Genomic DNA, 13980 nt, shown 5'->3' with positions numbered 1-13980 from the left:
CAGCTTAACCACAGATAAACCTGTTTAACCTCTGACCTTTGACCTTCCAGCTCCCTTTCTTTTGTGTCCCTTTCCTTTTCTTCTTTTCTCATCTCTTTTGCTTTGGGTTGCTCCTGCCCCCAGGGTGGGGCTGGCTCTGAACCGGAGCCTAGGGAGGGGGTCAAGGGAAAAGAGGGGCCCAGCGTTTCTTTTCCTCCCTTCCCCTCTTTCCGTGGATGTTGCTGCTTACTCTGAGTCTCCTGAGGATTGCATAATTACTTTTCTAACTCCTTTGGACTTCGCTGCCTGAGAAACCTACTGTCTTTCTAAACTTTTCCAAGGAAACTTTGATAACGAGCGCCTGGCGATTGCTAGACAGAGAATCCCCTACCGGCTTGGTCGAGTAGTAGATGAGTGGCTGCTCGACAAAGGTAATTAACCAGAATTAATTAATTAATTAATTAACTTTAAAAACACTATCTTAAAGGTGCAGAGCTCTCTCTTTCCCCCTCCGTGCCTTCACCAATGCCCACCCCCAAGTGAAGGGACAATTGGCCAGCCAGAATGCTCCCTTCCCCTTTGGAGTCAAGGGTCTGTCTGTGCATTTCAGAGTGGTGGTTTTTGGGGTAGGAGTGGGGTTTTTTCTTAGAAGTAGGGAGAGTCTTGTTCTCTTTTTAAACCTGGGATCAACTAGGGTAATCCACAAGATCCCTACCATGGGAGCTCCCCACTGTGAGCCCGGCAGTAAATCACAAGCAGGCTGGGAATGCAGCTTGGAGGTAGGTTCCCTCTGCCCAGAATCATCTCGGAGGCTTGGTAAAGGGCTAGCTGAGGGCCACAGAGCATGCAGAGGCAGGAAGCCTTTGGGAAGCAGGAAGGCTGACCTGAGGAGGTTTAGGAAGGCTTCACCAGAGCCATGTGAGGAGAAGAGAGAAGAGTGGGGACCTCAGATCTTACTGGAAAGACCCCCAAAGAGAGTGCTGTGGGGCTGCTATCTCTGGAACAAGCCCAGGTTAGTCCAGAAGGCCTCTGAGAAGTTGAGGAGAGACTAAGGGAAGTGGGGCAGGAGGTGGTGGGCCCATAGGGATTTCTGCTCCTGCTTGGCTGATGAGGAAGACCAAGCAAGCCCCTTGTGAGGCCCCAGTGTGGTGAGGTGTCGCTGGGTGTGAGAGAGAAGGCTTCTTGTTACCAAGGGAAGCTGGGGACTAAGGACATATCCATCCCATTCCCTTTGGGGAGGCGGGGCGAGCTCTGTACCTCTAAGGCTAAACTCTAGGGGGGAAGTAGAACTGTTAAATCTCCACTTAACCAGCTGATAACTGTGCTTTTAAATGTCCACTGGGGCCTTCCCCAACTAAAACCCCCAAATGTAACTTCTAGCCCCCCATGCCTGTGGGGCCTAAACCTGCTGATAACCAGATGTGATAAACCCATAACAGGACAAAAAGTTAAAGGGACTGTAACAGACATCGCTAAAACCTACAGCCCCCAGCCACACTGGGCTGCTCTCTCCAGCGGGGTGAACTTTAACCCTTTGAGGAGTTCATGGCGGATGGGGCCAGGGGCCACAGGGACCAAGTTTGCTAACACTGTGGCTTCCTCTTCATTACCCACCTCCCTCTTCCAGAATCAGAGAGGCCAAGGGAGCAGCCTGGGCTGAGGCTGGGACAACTTGTGACCCCAAGAGCAGGGAGAGCTGGACAGGCCCTGTTGGGGGGTGGGGGAGGAATTGTGGTTTAGATGAAGGAGAGCCAGGGCCCTCCTTCCTTTTTGCCTTAGATCTGACTTTCCTCTTCTAGAAAATAACCAATTGGATTAGAGAGGTAGTGCCCGAAGTGTGAAAGAAGGAACTCACTTTTCTGTGGCCTTAGCCAAGTACTTCCCCTTTCTGAGGCTCAGCTCTCTCCTGATGGGGCAGTGATGGTTACTCAGCCCACCTCACAGGCATGTTGTGAGGGTGAGAGGAAAGAAACAGCAGGAAAGTATCCCAGAACAAGTTCTGGGGATGCTTGGAGGGAATATTTTATTGTTAGCGCCTGACTATGGTAGGTGCTCAATAAATATTTATTGGATGAATCCATTTTCCAGTTCCAAAGCATGTCCTGTGAAACAGTCCCATGAGATGCTTCACAATAGAGAGATTTGTGGTAGAATGAGTTTGGGAAGTGCTGAATCCTGTTTCTTCCTCTTGGAGATGCATATGTGCATTAGTTTAATAAAGGCTCTGAGAAGCCCTTGGAGAAAGAAACCTGTTCGATTGTGAAATGTTTCCTTCCCCAACTCATTTGACCACTGTGATCCTTCTCTCCTTTGTTTTCCTCATGATTCTTATGTCTGGGAAAAAACTTTGATGCAGAGGTCTTCCTGGGCCTCTCTGGGTCTGGTATTCCAGGACTTGTACCAGAGCTGCTACCACTGGCCCTCTGCCTCTTGGCCTCTTGGCCATTAGTAATGGGCGTTGCTGGTCCAGGGGCTATCCTTGCCTGAGTGGGCAGTGGGAGGGTGCTGGAGGAAGAAGGAAGGCTGAGTGGGGGGCTGGGGAGACACCCCAGTGGCCATCATTGGCTAGAGGCTGGATGGATGTTTGGATGTCCCAGAGGCCTGGGTGTCCCAGAGAACCTGTTTCCAAAGAGGTTGTGGGCTTCACAAGTTGGACTGTCCTCAGCCCGGGTTTTGGGGGCAAGGCTTACAGGCACCGAACTCTAAACCAGATCTTTAACGAGGCACTAACCAGAGGCTAACAAGGGCTAAGCCAGGTCTAAAACCCCCAGTGCCAGCAGCTGAAGGTTCCGGGGGAGATGGGGCAATGTGGTAGGCCCTCTGCCCACCCCCTCCCTCCCACAAAATAAGCAGCACCAAAACCAAAGTTAAATCTAAACTTAAACATAATAAACATCTTTTCTAAAAACCAAACCAAAACAACAAACTCAGAGGGTTAAACCGACCCCCAGATCCACTAAAAACAAACAGAACAGCCCAACCCCACCCAGCTGGGAATTCTGAGGTGTCATACTGGAGTGTGGGGTGAGATTGGAGCTGGAGCGGGTTTTATTGGCTGTCAGTGAGCGAAGCAAGGTCCCTTTAACATTTTCCACTTCTGTGCTTGCATGTCCAGGTGGGGAGGAAGGGCTCGGCTTAACAGGGCCTGGTCCCAGGCAGTGCTGGGCCTTGGCAGTCCGGGAGAAGAGAGGGGATCCTGGCCAGGGGTCAGAAGGCCTGGTTGTAGGTGGGAGGTCAGCCTGGGCAGGTTGCTGCTTCCACACACCATCACTCTGTCTCACCTCCTTCTCTGCTCTCACACGCACCGACTCCACCTTGGCCTGGCAGCTACCTCCTCTGTCTCTGCCTCTTTGTCTCCTCTATCTGCCTCTTCCAGGGGCTCCATGGCTTCAGGGCTTGGGGCTGGACACTGGGGCAGGATGTTTGGGGAAGCAGAGGGAGAAGATGGGGATGGACTGAGGGAAGAGGATGAAGAGGGGAGATGACCTTGGAGCTGGAGAGGAGAGGGAATGGGGAAGGTGGGAAGGCTTGCACATGGTGGGGAGGAGGGACTGGGCTCCCCTTCCCCAGCCCATGTGTACCCTGGGTGCCCTCCCCTTCTGGGGTCCCCACCTGGCTGGGCTAGGGGCTGTGGCTGACAAGGACTTTCCCTTTGGCTTTCTGCCCCTTCCTCATTTCTCCCCGTCCCCTCCTCCCTTACTGGCTTTCTCCTCCATTCCTCTTTCCTCTCCTTGGCTTCCTTCTTTTCTTCCTTCCCTTCCTGGTCTCCCCTCACTGCCTGCCCCTTCTCTGTCACCCCCTTCCACTCCTGCAAGGCCGCCAGCTGACCATCTTCAACAGCCAGGCTGCCATCAAGATCGGGGGCCGGGATCAGGGCCGCCCCTTCCAGGGCCAGGTGTCCGGCCTCTACTACAATGGGCTCAAGGTGCTGGCGCTGGCCGCCGAGAGCGACCCCAATGTGCGGACTGAGGGTCACCTGCGCCTGGTGGGGGAGGGGCCGTCCGTGCTGCTCAGTGCGGAGACCACGGCCACCACCCTGCTGGCTGACATGGCCACCACCATCATGGAGACTACCACCACCATGGCCACTACCACCACGCGCCGGGGCCGCTCCCCCACACTGAGGGACAGCACCACCCAGGTGAGGCCCCACTCTGGCTGGTGGATTAGGGCAGGGATAGGTGGGGATGGGGTTGATATCTGCATAGCCACAGTAGTGGTGCCTAGAGTGAGGGTCCAAGGGGTCTGTTGGGATCCTGAAGGCTGCTGTCGCTGACTTTGTTGCCATGGCGATGGGCAAGGTCACCTTTCAGGAAGTGGCCTTCACCCTAATGACCAGGGATCTTGTGATGTGGGGGTGACCACTATTTCTAGAGGGACCATTCCCAGAATTGGGGAGGAGTTTGATGGCCCAGTTATATGAGAGAAGACCACCCTACCTAAGAGAGATGAAGTCTGGACTTGGGGTGAGAGTAGGATGGCTCCTTCTGCTTCCCCAGTGAAGGCCATGCCTAGCGTTCTGTGTGGGCAGAGAGTGGGAGATGGATGGTACCAGGCTGGCCCTGCTGTGGGCAGGGGTGACAGCATGGGAGGGCTGGATGCAGTCACCTGGCATGGGCAGCCCCTCTCCAGAGGCTGGTGGAAGCTAGGAGGAGCCTCTCCTTGTTTGCTGGGGTCCCTGCAGTGGGAAAGCCCTGGCTGCAAGTCCATTGCCTTCACAAGCCCTCTCCATGTGACTATGAGCAGGCACCACAACTCAGGCAGCTTCAGTGTCCTCTCCGTCTGTGCGTCTGAGGGGGTCTCAGTGCAGACAGTTCCCTGGTGCTCACCCCACCTGCTGATCTGGATGGCCCCAGCTAGCCTAGTCCCAGGCTTCCTGCAGCACAGACTGGTAGGGAGGAGGGGCCTTGAAGCACATGGAGCCCACCCCACCTGCTCAGGTGTTTCCTGGGTCAGGTCAAGCCCTAGCGATAGGGCAGGACTGGAGGGGCCTGCACCTGGGGAATGGGGCTCTGCTGGAGCAGGACAGGCCTGTGTGACTTCCTGAGGCAGCCCAGGCTGGGCTGTTTTCTAGTTGTTGCCTCCTGTGCTTGCTCTGACCGTTAGCACAGGGAGGGCTCACACCTGGCATGAAGGCCTTTTTTGGCCACCCCTTCTCTTCCCATCGCCCTGTCTGGCAGCCTATGGCTGTTAGGCACCCTCTGTCCTTCTAGGGTGAGGGCAGGATCTGGGGGTGGCCATGAGGATGTGCTCCTCCCTCTGTCACCAGTCTGTCTTCAGCTTCTCCCTCTGAGGGGTGGGCTCCATGTGCTTTAAGACCCCTCCTCCCTGCCAGTCTGTGCTGCAGGAAGCCTGGGACTAGGCTAGCTGGGGCCATCCAGATCAGAGAGACAAGCCTGTACCCACTTCCTCTCTGCAAAGAAAGCTGAGGAGACCTGAAGACTTTGCCCCGAGGGAGCAGGGAGCCCTTGGGGAAAAGGTCTGGGCTCTACCCAAGGCTGGGTACCCACCATGCCCAATACCCTCCAAATCATAGGGGACGAGGGGCTGTCTGGTCTCAGTGGGAGGGTGATGGGCAGATCATCCTGGTGGAAGAGAGAGGTGGGAGTCCCAGGAGTCACTGCTGTGGTGGGGAAGCCCAAGATGGAGGCTGGTGCCGAGGGGGCAAGAATGCAGAAGGGAGCTGGGTCCTCCAGGCACTGCCTTGCCCTTGGGTGAGTGAGGGCTGTTGAGTCTGAAGATCATGGGCTGGGAAGAGGCAGGTTATGACCCTTTCAACCCTGCTCGTCCTTGTCCTTCAGCCTAGCTCTCTCCTCACCTTCCCGCAGTTTCTCGCGCTCCCTTCTTGCCTGGACTTTTGATTTCCCTCCTTGGGTCTCCTCCTTCATGCCCCTGAGCGCCCCCCTCCTCCTTACACTCACTCATCTTGGGGATTCTCTTTCTTTGCAATAAGTAAGAGAGAAAATGCTGACAAAGTCTTCTCTTGTCGTCATGGCAACCACAGCCCTAATTACTGTGTGCAGCCCGGCTCTCTCAGGCTCCAGGAAAGGGGGTTGGGAGAGAGATGAGGGGTGATGGGTGGTGAAGCTGGAGCCAGGAAACCCTCCAGGGCCTGGCCCTATTCTGCCTGCGCTGGCCTCTGCAGGCTCCGCCCCATAGGGCCTTGCCTCCCTGGCACCTTCCCTGAGGCATCCTAGATCCTCTTGCCCTGGCGCTGCAGGTCAAAGTCTGGCGTCCACTCTCCTCACTTCCGAGAAATAAAAAGCACCATGTGTGCTGTTTCACTGACCTTCGGAAGCCATGAAAACCTGCAGGGCTGTTGCTGGGGAGTTCCCTGTGCATAGCAGGAAATGGAGGCCCGAGGTCAGCCAGCAAGAGATGGGAGGGCTGGGACTCAGACCAGTCTGGTCCGTCTCAGCCCAGGGGCATCCCCCGTGCCACCGTGCACCTCAAGTGGCAGCTGTGGGATCTGCTGACCTGCCTGGAACCTCTCTTTCCCCACCCCTTCTCTCGCCCCTCAGAACACAGATGACCTGCTGGTGGCCTCTGCTGAGTGTCCAAGCGATGATGAGGACCTGGAGGAGTGTGAGCCCAGTACTGGTGAGTGCCTTTCCCCCCTCCCCTGCCCCGGGTCCCTCTGCGATGCTGCTGGGAGGGGGGCGACTGTCCCTGCCACCTGGCCCAAGCCCCAGGGCCTGCTGCCAGGCCTTAGCTTTCCCTGATAGTTCCCCCTTGCCTAACATCCTCCCAGTCCCTCAGCTGCTCTCTGGCAAGATGCCTTTTGGTTCCCAGCCCCTCAGAGGTAGTGAGGTCCTTAGCCTGGGGTCCTGGGGTTGAGAGCCAAGAGGTGCTGGGAGAGAAGGAGGGAGGCGTTTCCCTAGGAGGATGAGTAACTGCAGCTCCCATGAGTCCCTGGGGTGGGGGAGGGTGAACATGGCTTAGGAACTACAACTCCCATCAGTTCTTGGGTCCAGAACCACAACTCCCACCTGCCCCTGAGGCCTGGTGCTCTCTAGGCCACTAGTAGAGGAGATCTCTGCTGGATCCTGGGCCCTCCTCTTCTCCTGGGTGTTGGGAGGTGTCCTGTGCTCTGTCTGAAGTGTTCCCAGAGTGGACACTGCCAGGACTGCCAGGCCAAGGTGAGGCAGTTACAACACAGTGACTGCTCTGAATCCGATAGTGTGCTGGGTGGGAGGTTCCCCCTAGACCAGACTTGTGGTCTCCTGGGGAATATTAGGGCCTGAGGTCTGGCCCAGATTCTAGTGGGGGAGCTGCTGTAGGAGGAGAGCAGGGCTGGGAGGGAAGGCTCTCCAGGGCCTGGGGCAATGGGGCCAGGGAGTGCTTTCTAGGCCTCTGCTTGATACTTCTTGCTGGAGCCAAGGGTGCAGCCACAGAGAGAGACCAGGCTGGCAAAGCGGGGGTGGCCTTGAGTGCTGCTTGAGAAGTGTGGGATGTGGAGTGGTGCAGTGAGTGCCAAGGCTGCTCATTTGAGCAGGTTGGGGGTGGCCAAGAGCAGCTGGGGGAGGGTGGGATACTTGAGGCTGGCAGAGGGAGCAGAGAAAGGACTGGATGTGGCCAGATTTCCCAGTGGAGGAGTGTGGGCCTCGGTGGCTGCCAGATGAGTCTGTGGGAGTGGAGGGCCACCCACGTTTCTCGCTTGGGCTGCTGGAGACTTCTCCCCATTACCTTGCAATGGGTGGCACCTGGGTTGTTGGTACCAGAAGGCTGGAGGTTGGGGCCGGTGCTTGCGGGGTTGGGGGAGATTATGTGGTCAGGAGGTGGGCAGTGAGCCCTGGATACATCCTGTGAATCTGGCCTGGGGGCCTCCCAGCTCCAGAAAAGACATTCAGGCTGAGGGTGGGCCACGACCTTGGAAGGGGTGTGGATAGAGCAGGACCATAGCATGGCCTGTGGAGCCTTGGGGCAGAGGCTCAGCTTCAAAAACCAAGGGCAGAGGGGTTTCTGGGGCACAGGCGCCCAGACCCAGAGGCTAAAGCCCAGTTGCCCTCCATGTCCCCCAAGTAGGCTAGAGCTGAGAGGGGTCATTCCCATGGGCCTGGGCCCAGGGACCTTCAGGGGAGCTGCCAGCTGCTGGGCCAGAAAGGCCTTCCTTTCCATAGCCCAGGGCCTGTGCTTTCTGGGTCAGATGCCTTCCTCTCTAGGAGGCCCCTCTGCTGAGTGCTGTTACTTCTTCCCCTGGGGCGATCTTGGCTCAAGGATGTACACTCCAATGCCTCCATTGCTTTGGGGGGCTCTGGGCATCTGGTGACTTCAACACACAGTACCCCCTGCCCTGCTTTACTGCTCTGAGCTCTAGGCGTTTATTGGTGGCTCCTGTGGCCAACACAGCACTGCTAGCCCAGGCCTGCTGGAAGTGGCTGTGATGAGCGGCCCCATAAAAGCTCTGGGACGGGGCTCTGGGGACAACGGTCTTTGAGGGTCCTGAAGAAAGGGCACTGAGTGGCACCACATGTGTTTACACACAGGTGCCCATGTTCACACACTCTGGGACAGGAATTCCTGGGTAACAGGAGGAGTCTCTGCTTTCCCTGCACCCTGCAGAGGGGTATCTGGGGCCAGATGGTCACCACGTAGGGGCATGCAGTGCACACTGGATCCCACCTGGGCCATACTCTGCCCACCGAAGTTCTAGCCTCCCAGCCCTGTCTTGGAGTCTAGTCAGGGGCCTGGGTCTGATGCTGAATGGGTGCATTGGTGGTCTGAGCCCTTTTAGGCTGCATTAGGGCAGAGGGTGAGGAGGCGCTGAAGCAGGCGGGTCAGCTGGTTCCCAGTCAGGGATCTGTGAGGTCACTGACCACTGAGCCACCCTCTTGGGAAAAGGGCCAAGTAGAGGATGAAGGGTGGAGGAGGTCTAGAAGCCTGGGATAGAGAGGGGCTGATAGCCATTCCAGCACCCAGCTTTAAAAGTAAGGCCAGGAGGGAGGGCAGAGTACACTCTGGAGCCCCCAGAGGAAACTGCCAGAAGCCACAGCCTCTCCCCTAAGCCTGCATCGCACATGCTTACACGTCCACATTTGCACCACTGTGAAAGGTTTAACGATGGATCCTCATCATCCCAATGGGAGGCCAGGCAAGGACCAAAATGACTCCAGGGTCTCCCAGTCTCGTGTAGACCATGCCATGCCGCCCAGAGCCTCTCCCAGGCCCAAATGCAAGGAGGCTTTTCTCCAGCAGACGGCCAGGACTCCCTTGGCTCCAGTGTCAGAGGTGGGGGCAGCCTCGCTGGAGACCCCATGGGGTTTTACCTCTCCCACCTTGCAGATCCTCATCCCTGGGTCTGGGATCATTTCTGCTCACCTTTTCACCCTTTTCCCTAACCTGGGCTCCTCCACAGACCCTGGCCCATACTTTCTCCCTTGTTTAGTGAGACCATCATCTACACGGTTATTTTAGCTGAGGTTGGCTTTTGAATGGGAGTGCCTTTAGCAGGGCATGCACCATCGGTAATGTACCCACTCATAGTTGTCTCAGCTGGCCCAACCCACATATTGTGTCCTGGGCCTGGCCCCTGAGGGGATCTGACTTTGCACAACCCGAGACGTGCAGGAAGAGAAGAGCACACACAGGCTCAGACCCACAGAGGCAGGGTCTGTATGCACATGTATGACCAGAGGCATGCACACATACAGCCCTACACATACATACATTTACATACCCACCAGCAAGCTCACATGGGCCCACTTCCACACACACACATACACACACACACACGTTCAAACCTAGAGGAGCACACACTATTTGTACCTAGACCAACAGAGGCACACACATGCTTAGACTCCAAGAGACATGTGTGTGCTTATACCCCCCTGAAGTCCATAAACACAGATACACACCTGTTGAGACTCACAGAAGCATAAACTCATGCACACATGCATAGCCTAATGAAAGCACATGCATGCACTCAGAGCTACCAACTCTTGCATGTGTGTGCTTAGAGCTCCAGAAATAGCCGCAGAGGCACTCAGATGCACACGTGTGCACCTACTCAGCTCCCAGAGGTTCACACTTGTGTGTGTGTTCAGTTGCACCAAGGCACACATATTGTGTGTCTCACACCAAGGCACTTGGCTGTGTTCTGAGCTATGTGTGCATGCATGTTCAGACCCACTGAGGCACACCCACACACTCATATCTACTGACACCCATGCTGAATGTTCAGAATCACACACACATGCTCAGACCCAGAGACAGACTTGCATATTGCAGGCACTCAGGACAGGACACACACATCTGTGTTCAGACCTGAGTGTGTGTGAATATGTGCTTAGGCTCAGTGAGACATATACCTTGTGACACGCCCTCGGACTCACAGATTATACATCTGTGCTCAGCTCAGAGGCACACATATGTGCACAGATCCACCTGTGTAACACACACAGGTGCTCAGACCACAGAGTCCTACATGCATGTTCAGACAGGCAGATGCTCACATGTGTTTCAGAACCGCAGAGACCTGTATGCATGTTCAGATCAGGCAAGTAAGCAGTGTGCTTAGACCCACCACAGTGCACATGTGTGCCCACATGTACTTACAGAAATGCACATCTATGACCAGGCTCACAGAGGTACATGTGTGTATAAGTATACTCACCACAATGCACACATACATATCTGCAGAGAGGTGTACTCATGCACCAACATGTGTGTCCAACCCCCAGAGGCATGCCCACATGTACACAAATGTGCACCTGGGTAAGACTCACAGGGGTTCAGATGTGCACATTCTCAGAGGCAGGCTGTGTGCTCAACCCCAGGGGCCTCATACACACACAATTTGTTCAGCTTCACAGACCTGCACCTCTCCCACCAAGCCCGCCCCTATAGAAGCTCATACTTCCATGCACAGTCAATGTGCTGAGTGCCACAGCAGTGTACACACACACACACACGCTTACCTGCTGAAACATGCATACTGGTTCACACTCACAGAAGAATACATATGTACACACATATGCATAGACATGCAAGTTCATGTGCTTAGACCTGTACAGAGGTATACACATACACACACACACACACACACACACACACACACACACACACGCTTGGGCCTACATTAGCCCACACAGGTGCAAGTGCACTTCTGTGCTCCAAGGTACCCATGCAGTGGCACACAGAAGGGCACACACATATCCTCAGACTTGTAGGGCATGCACACATGTTCAGACACAGTACAAGGCATGCCTGTATGCCTGTGTGCTCCCACTCAGGTAAGTACACACAGTTGTTTAGACCCACAGGAGCACACACATACACACATGTGTATTCAGATTCACCCAGGCCCATGTATGCTCAGACCCACAGAAGCAGCCTCCTGCACTTACTCCATGCAAGCATCCCTCCTGAAGCATTGCCCTCATGCACACATGAATGAGACCCTCAGAGGCACATGCAGGCTTAACTCCACAGAGTCACAGACACATTTGCCGAGACCCGTAGAACCACAGTGTGTTCAGATTCCAAGAGGGTCTCAAGGTAGCACTAGTTGCTATAATAGACAACATCTATTGGTTTAACACATAGAAATGTATTTCTCATTCATGTAAGTTATAAACAAGTGTTCCTGATTGGTGGGCCACTCTTCTCCAAGTGATGACTCAAGGCTTGGACCCTCTCCATCTTGTGGCTGCACCATCTTCAACAGGTGACTTCCTGAGTTGTGGTGGAAGGGGACCCGGCATGGAGTTGTGAAGTGGAAGATTTTATGGGCCAGCCGTGGGAGAGGCGTGCAGGCTCCTGCCCACATTCTGTTGCCTGGAGCTCAGTCATGGGGCCCAGCCTAGCTTTAAGGAAGGCTGTGAGGTATGGCCTTGCTGTGCCCTGAGGAGGAAGCAGAAACAGGTCTGGGGCCCAGCTAGTGAATTATTTGTCACCGGCTTGCCTGTGGTCATCAAGGATCCGTTTCACTCTTTCTCACCTCCAGGACACACCCACCCCTCCCCAAGGGAGACCACCCAAAGTCCCAACCAGCTAGGGCATTCATCTCAAAGCTCATGATGTCTGGGAGATGGTGGCCCACCGCATCCAGTCAAGACCTGGCTCCTCTGGAATGGGGACCCATATGTGATCTGGATACCCAGGAACTAAATGGATCATTTATCTCACTGCTCCCACAGCCCGATACACACCCAGCATACTGTGGTGTGGGGCAGAGGGAAAAATGGAAGACACACAGCAGCCTAGATTCACACAGGCCAATGTGTGCTGCTAGCGCTGAGGAAATCCAGCAGGCAGGCAGGCCAGGCTCTCTGCCCCTGCAGTGGGGGAAATTTCTTCATTAAACCCTGGGAGAGATTCTGCTCTCTGGGGGAGACTCCCCTCTCCTTTGTCTGGGGTCCCTGGCTGTCCCCTCTGGGAAGTTCCTCCCAGTCCTCCTTCTCCATGGCCATGTCTGAAGTGGGTGTTGGGAACAATGTCCTCCTTGGGGGTGCTGTAGCATGATAGCCCACCCCTGCTCATGCAGATTTGGGGCCCAAGGGTGGTTTAAGGTTCAAAGTAACCCCACCTAGACACAGTTCTCAAGCCTCATTTATTTCCTTGTTGCTCTGCCCCCATGCCTCTTTCTCTTAATACAGTGGTGATTGTCTTGAGGACATTTGAAACAATAGGTGGGAGGTTGCGGGGGCGGGGGGCAACCCCTAAATCTGATCCTTGAGCAAGGCTGAGTGCTCTTATTCAGGTGAGAAGTTTTACTGCGCCATTGTCCTCAAAGCCTTTTTCACTTTTCTCTCTTACTGTTTGGAAGCAGTGGCCTCTTCTGACTCTTGTGGGATGCAGATTTCTGGGCTCTCTGTATTCTTTTCACTTCTGCTTGCAAACCAGCCAGTTCTTGCCTCCTCATACTCCTTGCCTCCTTGGTCTCTTCCTTGTACTATGTTACTAAAAGTAGAAAGTAGAAGCCTCATGGTCAGTGGCCTTTCCCAGCCCTTTCCCTCAGTGCCCAGACTCCACAGGCAGTGCCTACCCTCCAGGTTCTCATGAGCAACGGTGTGCACCACATGCTTTGCCACTGCATTATGTGGGTTTTATCTTCCCAGCCTCCACGCCTTGGATTGTCACGAGTGCCTTCTCAGGTTTGTGTTATCGTGACATCCATTTCTGGTGCCAGTGTCTATATTAGTTAAAGTAACATTTGTTTCTGTAACAGATAAGCCCCGGATCTCCGTAGTTAATTCAAGAGAAGTTTCTCACTCAGGTGCACCCTACCTGGGTATGCCTGATCAGCAGGTGGCTCTGCTGCCAAGGGTGCTTTAGGAATCCACACTCCTTCCATCTGTGGTGCCTCCATTTTCAACTTGTGGTTTCCAAGGTCACTGCAGGAGAAGGAGCATGGAAAGTGGCACCAGGAGGCTGCTGGGGCACTGGTACGGGCAGTGCCCACTACTCAGTCATACACCAGGCCTACTCACAGGGGATGTCAGGAAATGTAGTCTTGCTTCCCAGGAGAAGGGGAAAATGAGTTTGGTGAAGGACGCGTTCCCTGGGGTGCACCGCTGGTGCTCAGATGCCTGTGGTGCACTCACATGTTCTGGGGCATGTTCACATATGGACATGTGCACACGGAACTCAGACCCAGGCTCAGTGGCCGGCAGGCACATGCCAGAGCCAGAGGTCCACTCACTGACATGCACACGCTCATGCTCAGATCCATCTAGGTTCACATACATGCATGCACACATGTGCTTGGGGCACAGAAACACAGATCCTCAGTGTGTGTGTGTGCATGTGCATATGCCACAATGTACCGTTTTTTTCTTACCTTGAAATACCCTGGCCTCTGCCCTTGCAGTACTGGTGCTTGTGGGTGGCGAGGGGCACTGTCCTTCAGGGCACCATACACAGTGGCACAGGTTGCTCTCTGCTCGCACAGGTGAGTAGGGGCTGATATCTGCCCAGGGCTCTGCTTGCCCAGCCATGTGTCCTGAGCACCAGAACAGGACCGTGTCCACTGAGAGGAGAGAATGGTTTTTCCAATATTGC

The 13980-nt window shown here is 54.9% G+C and overlaps 1 protein-coding gene across 10 annotated transcripts in view, besides 3 other annotated features; it reads left to right on the top strand.

Annotated features, from left to right (window-relative positions):
• NRXN2 (neurexin 2) overlaps nt 1-13980 on the top strand; it is a 117024-nt gene that overhangs the window by 96325 nt on the left and 6719 nt on the right. For 7 of the 10 annotated variants that reach the window (NM_001376266.1, NM_001376265.1, NM_001376263.1 and 4 more), the window contains 3 exons: nt 321-410; nt 3795-4120; nt 6501-6579. In NM_001376266.1, coding sequence (NP_001363195.1) covers nt 321-410; nt 3795-4120; nt 6501-6579 — 495 coding nt within the window. The remainder of the gene's footprint in view (nt 1-320; nt 411-3794; nt 4121-6500; nt 6580-13980) is intronic. The other 3 variants (NM_138732.3, NM_001376267.1, NM_001400682.1) reach the window with 1 other exon arrangement.
• Nucleotides 1655-1704: an enhancer, noted in NCBI's record as "active region_4905". NCBI's record gives its function as "activates an Ori minimal core promoter by ATAC-STARR-seq in GM12878 lymphoblastoid cells {active_cell/tissue: GM12878}" and the evidence as "EXISTENCE:reporter gene assay evidence [ECO:0000049][PMID:35858748]".
• Nucleotides 5815-6430: an enhancer, noted in NCBI's record as "H3K27ac-H3K4me1 hESC enhancer chr11:64387915-64388530 (GRCh37/hg19 assembly coordinates)". NCBI's record gives its function as "activates a minimal SCP1, AML or CMV promoter by ChIP-STARR-seq in naive H9 embryonic stem cells {active_cell/tissue: H9 hESC(naive)}" and the evidence as "EXISTENCE:reporter gene assay evidence [ECO:0000049][PMID:30033119]".
• Nucleotides 6431-7047: an enhancer, noted in NCBI's record as "H3K27ac-H3K4me1 hESC enhancer chr11:64387298-64387914 (GRCh37/hg19 assembly coordinates)". NCBI's record gives its function as "activates a minimal SCP1, AML or CMV promoter by ChIP-STARR-seq in naive H9 embryonic stem cells {active_cell/tissue: H9 hESC(naive)}" and the evidence as "EXISTENCE:reporter gene assay evidence [ECO:0000049][PMID:30033119]".

The sequence above is a fragment of the Homo sapiens genome, chromosome 11 (genome assembly GCF_000001405.40).
Source record: "Homo sapiens chromosome 11, GRCh38.p14 Primary Assembly".
Classification (NCBI taxonomy): Eukaryota; Metazoa; Chordata; class Mammalia; order Primates; family Hominidae; genus Homo; species Homo sapiens.
This window is presented reverse-complemented; position numbering and strand designations above follow the sequence as displayed.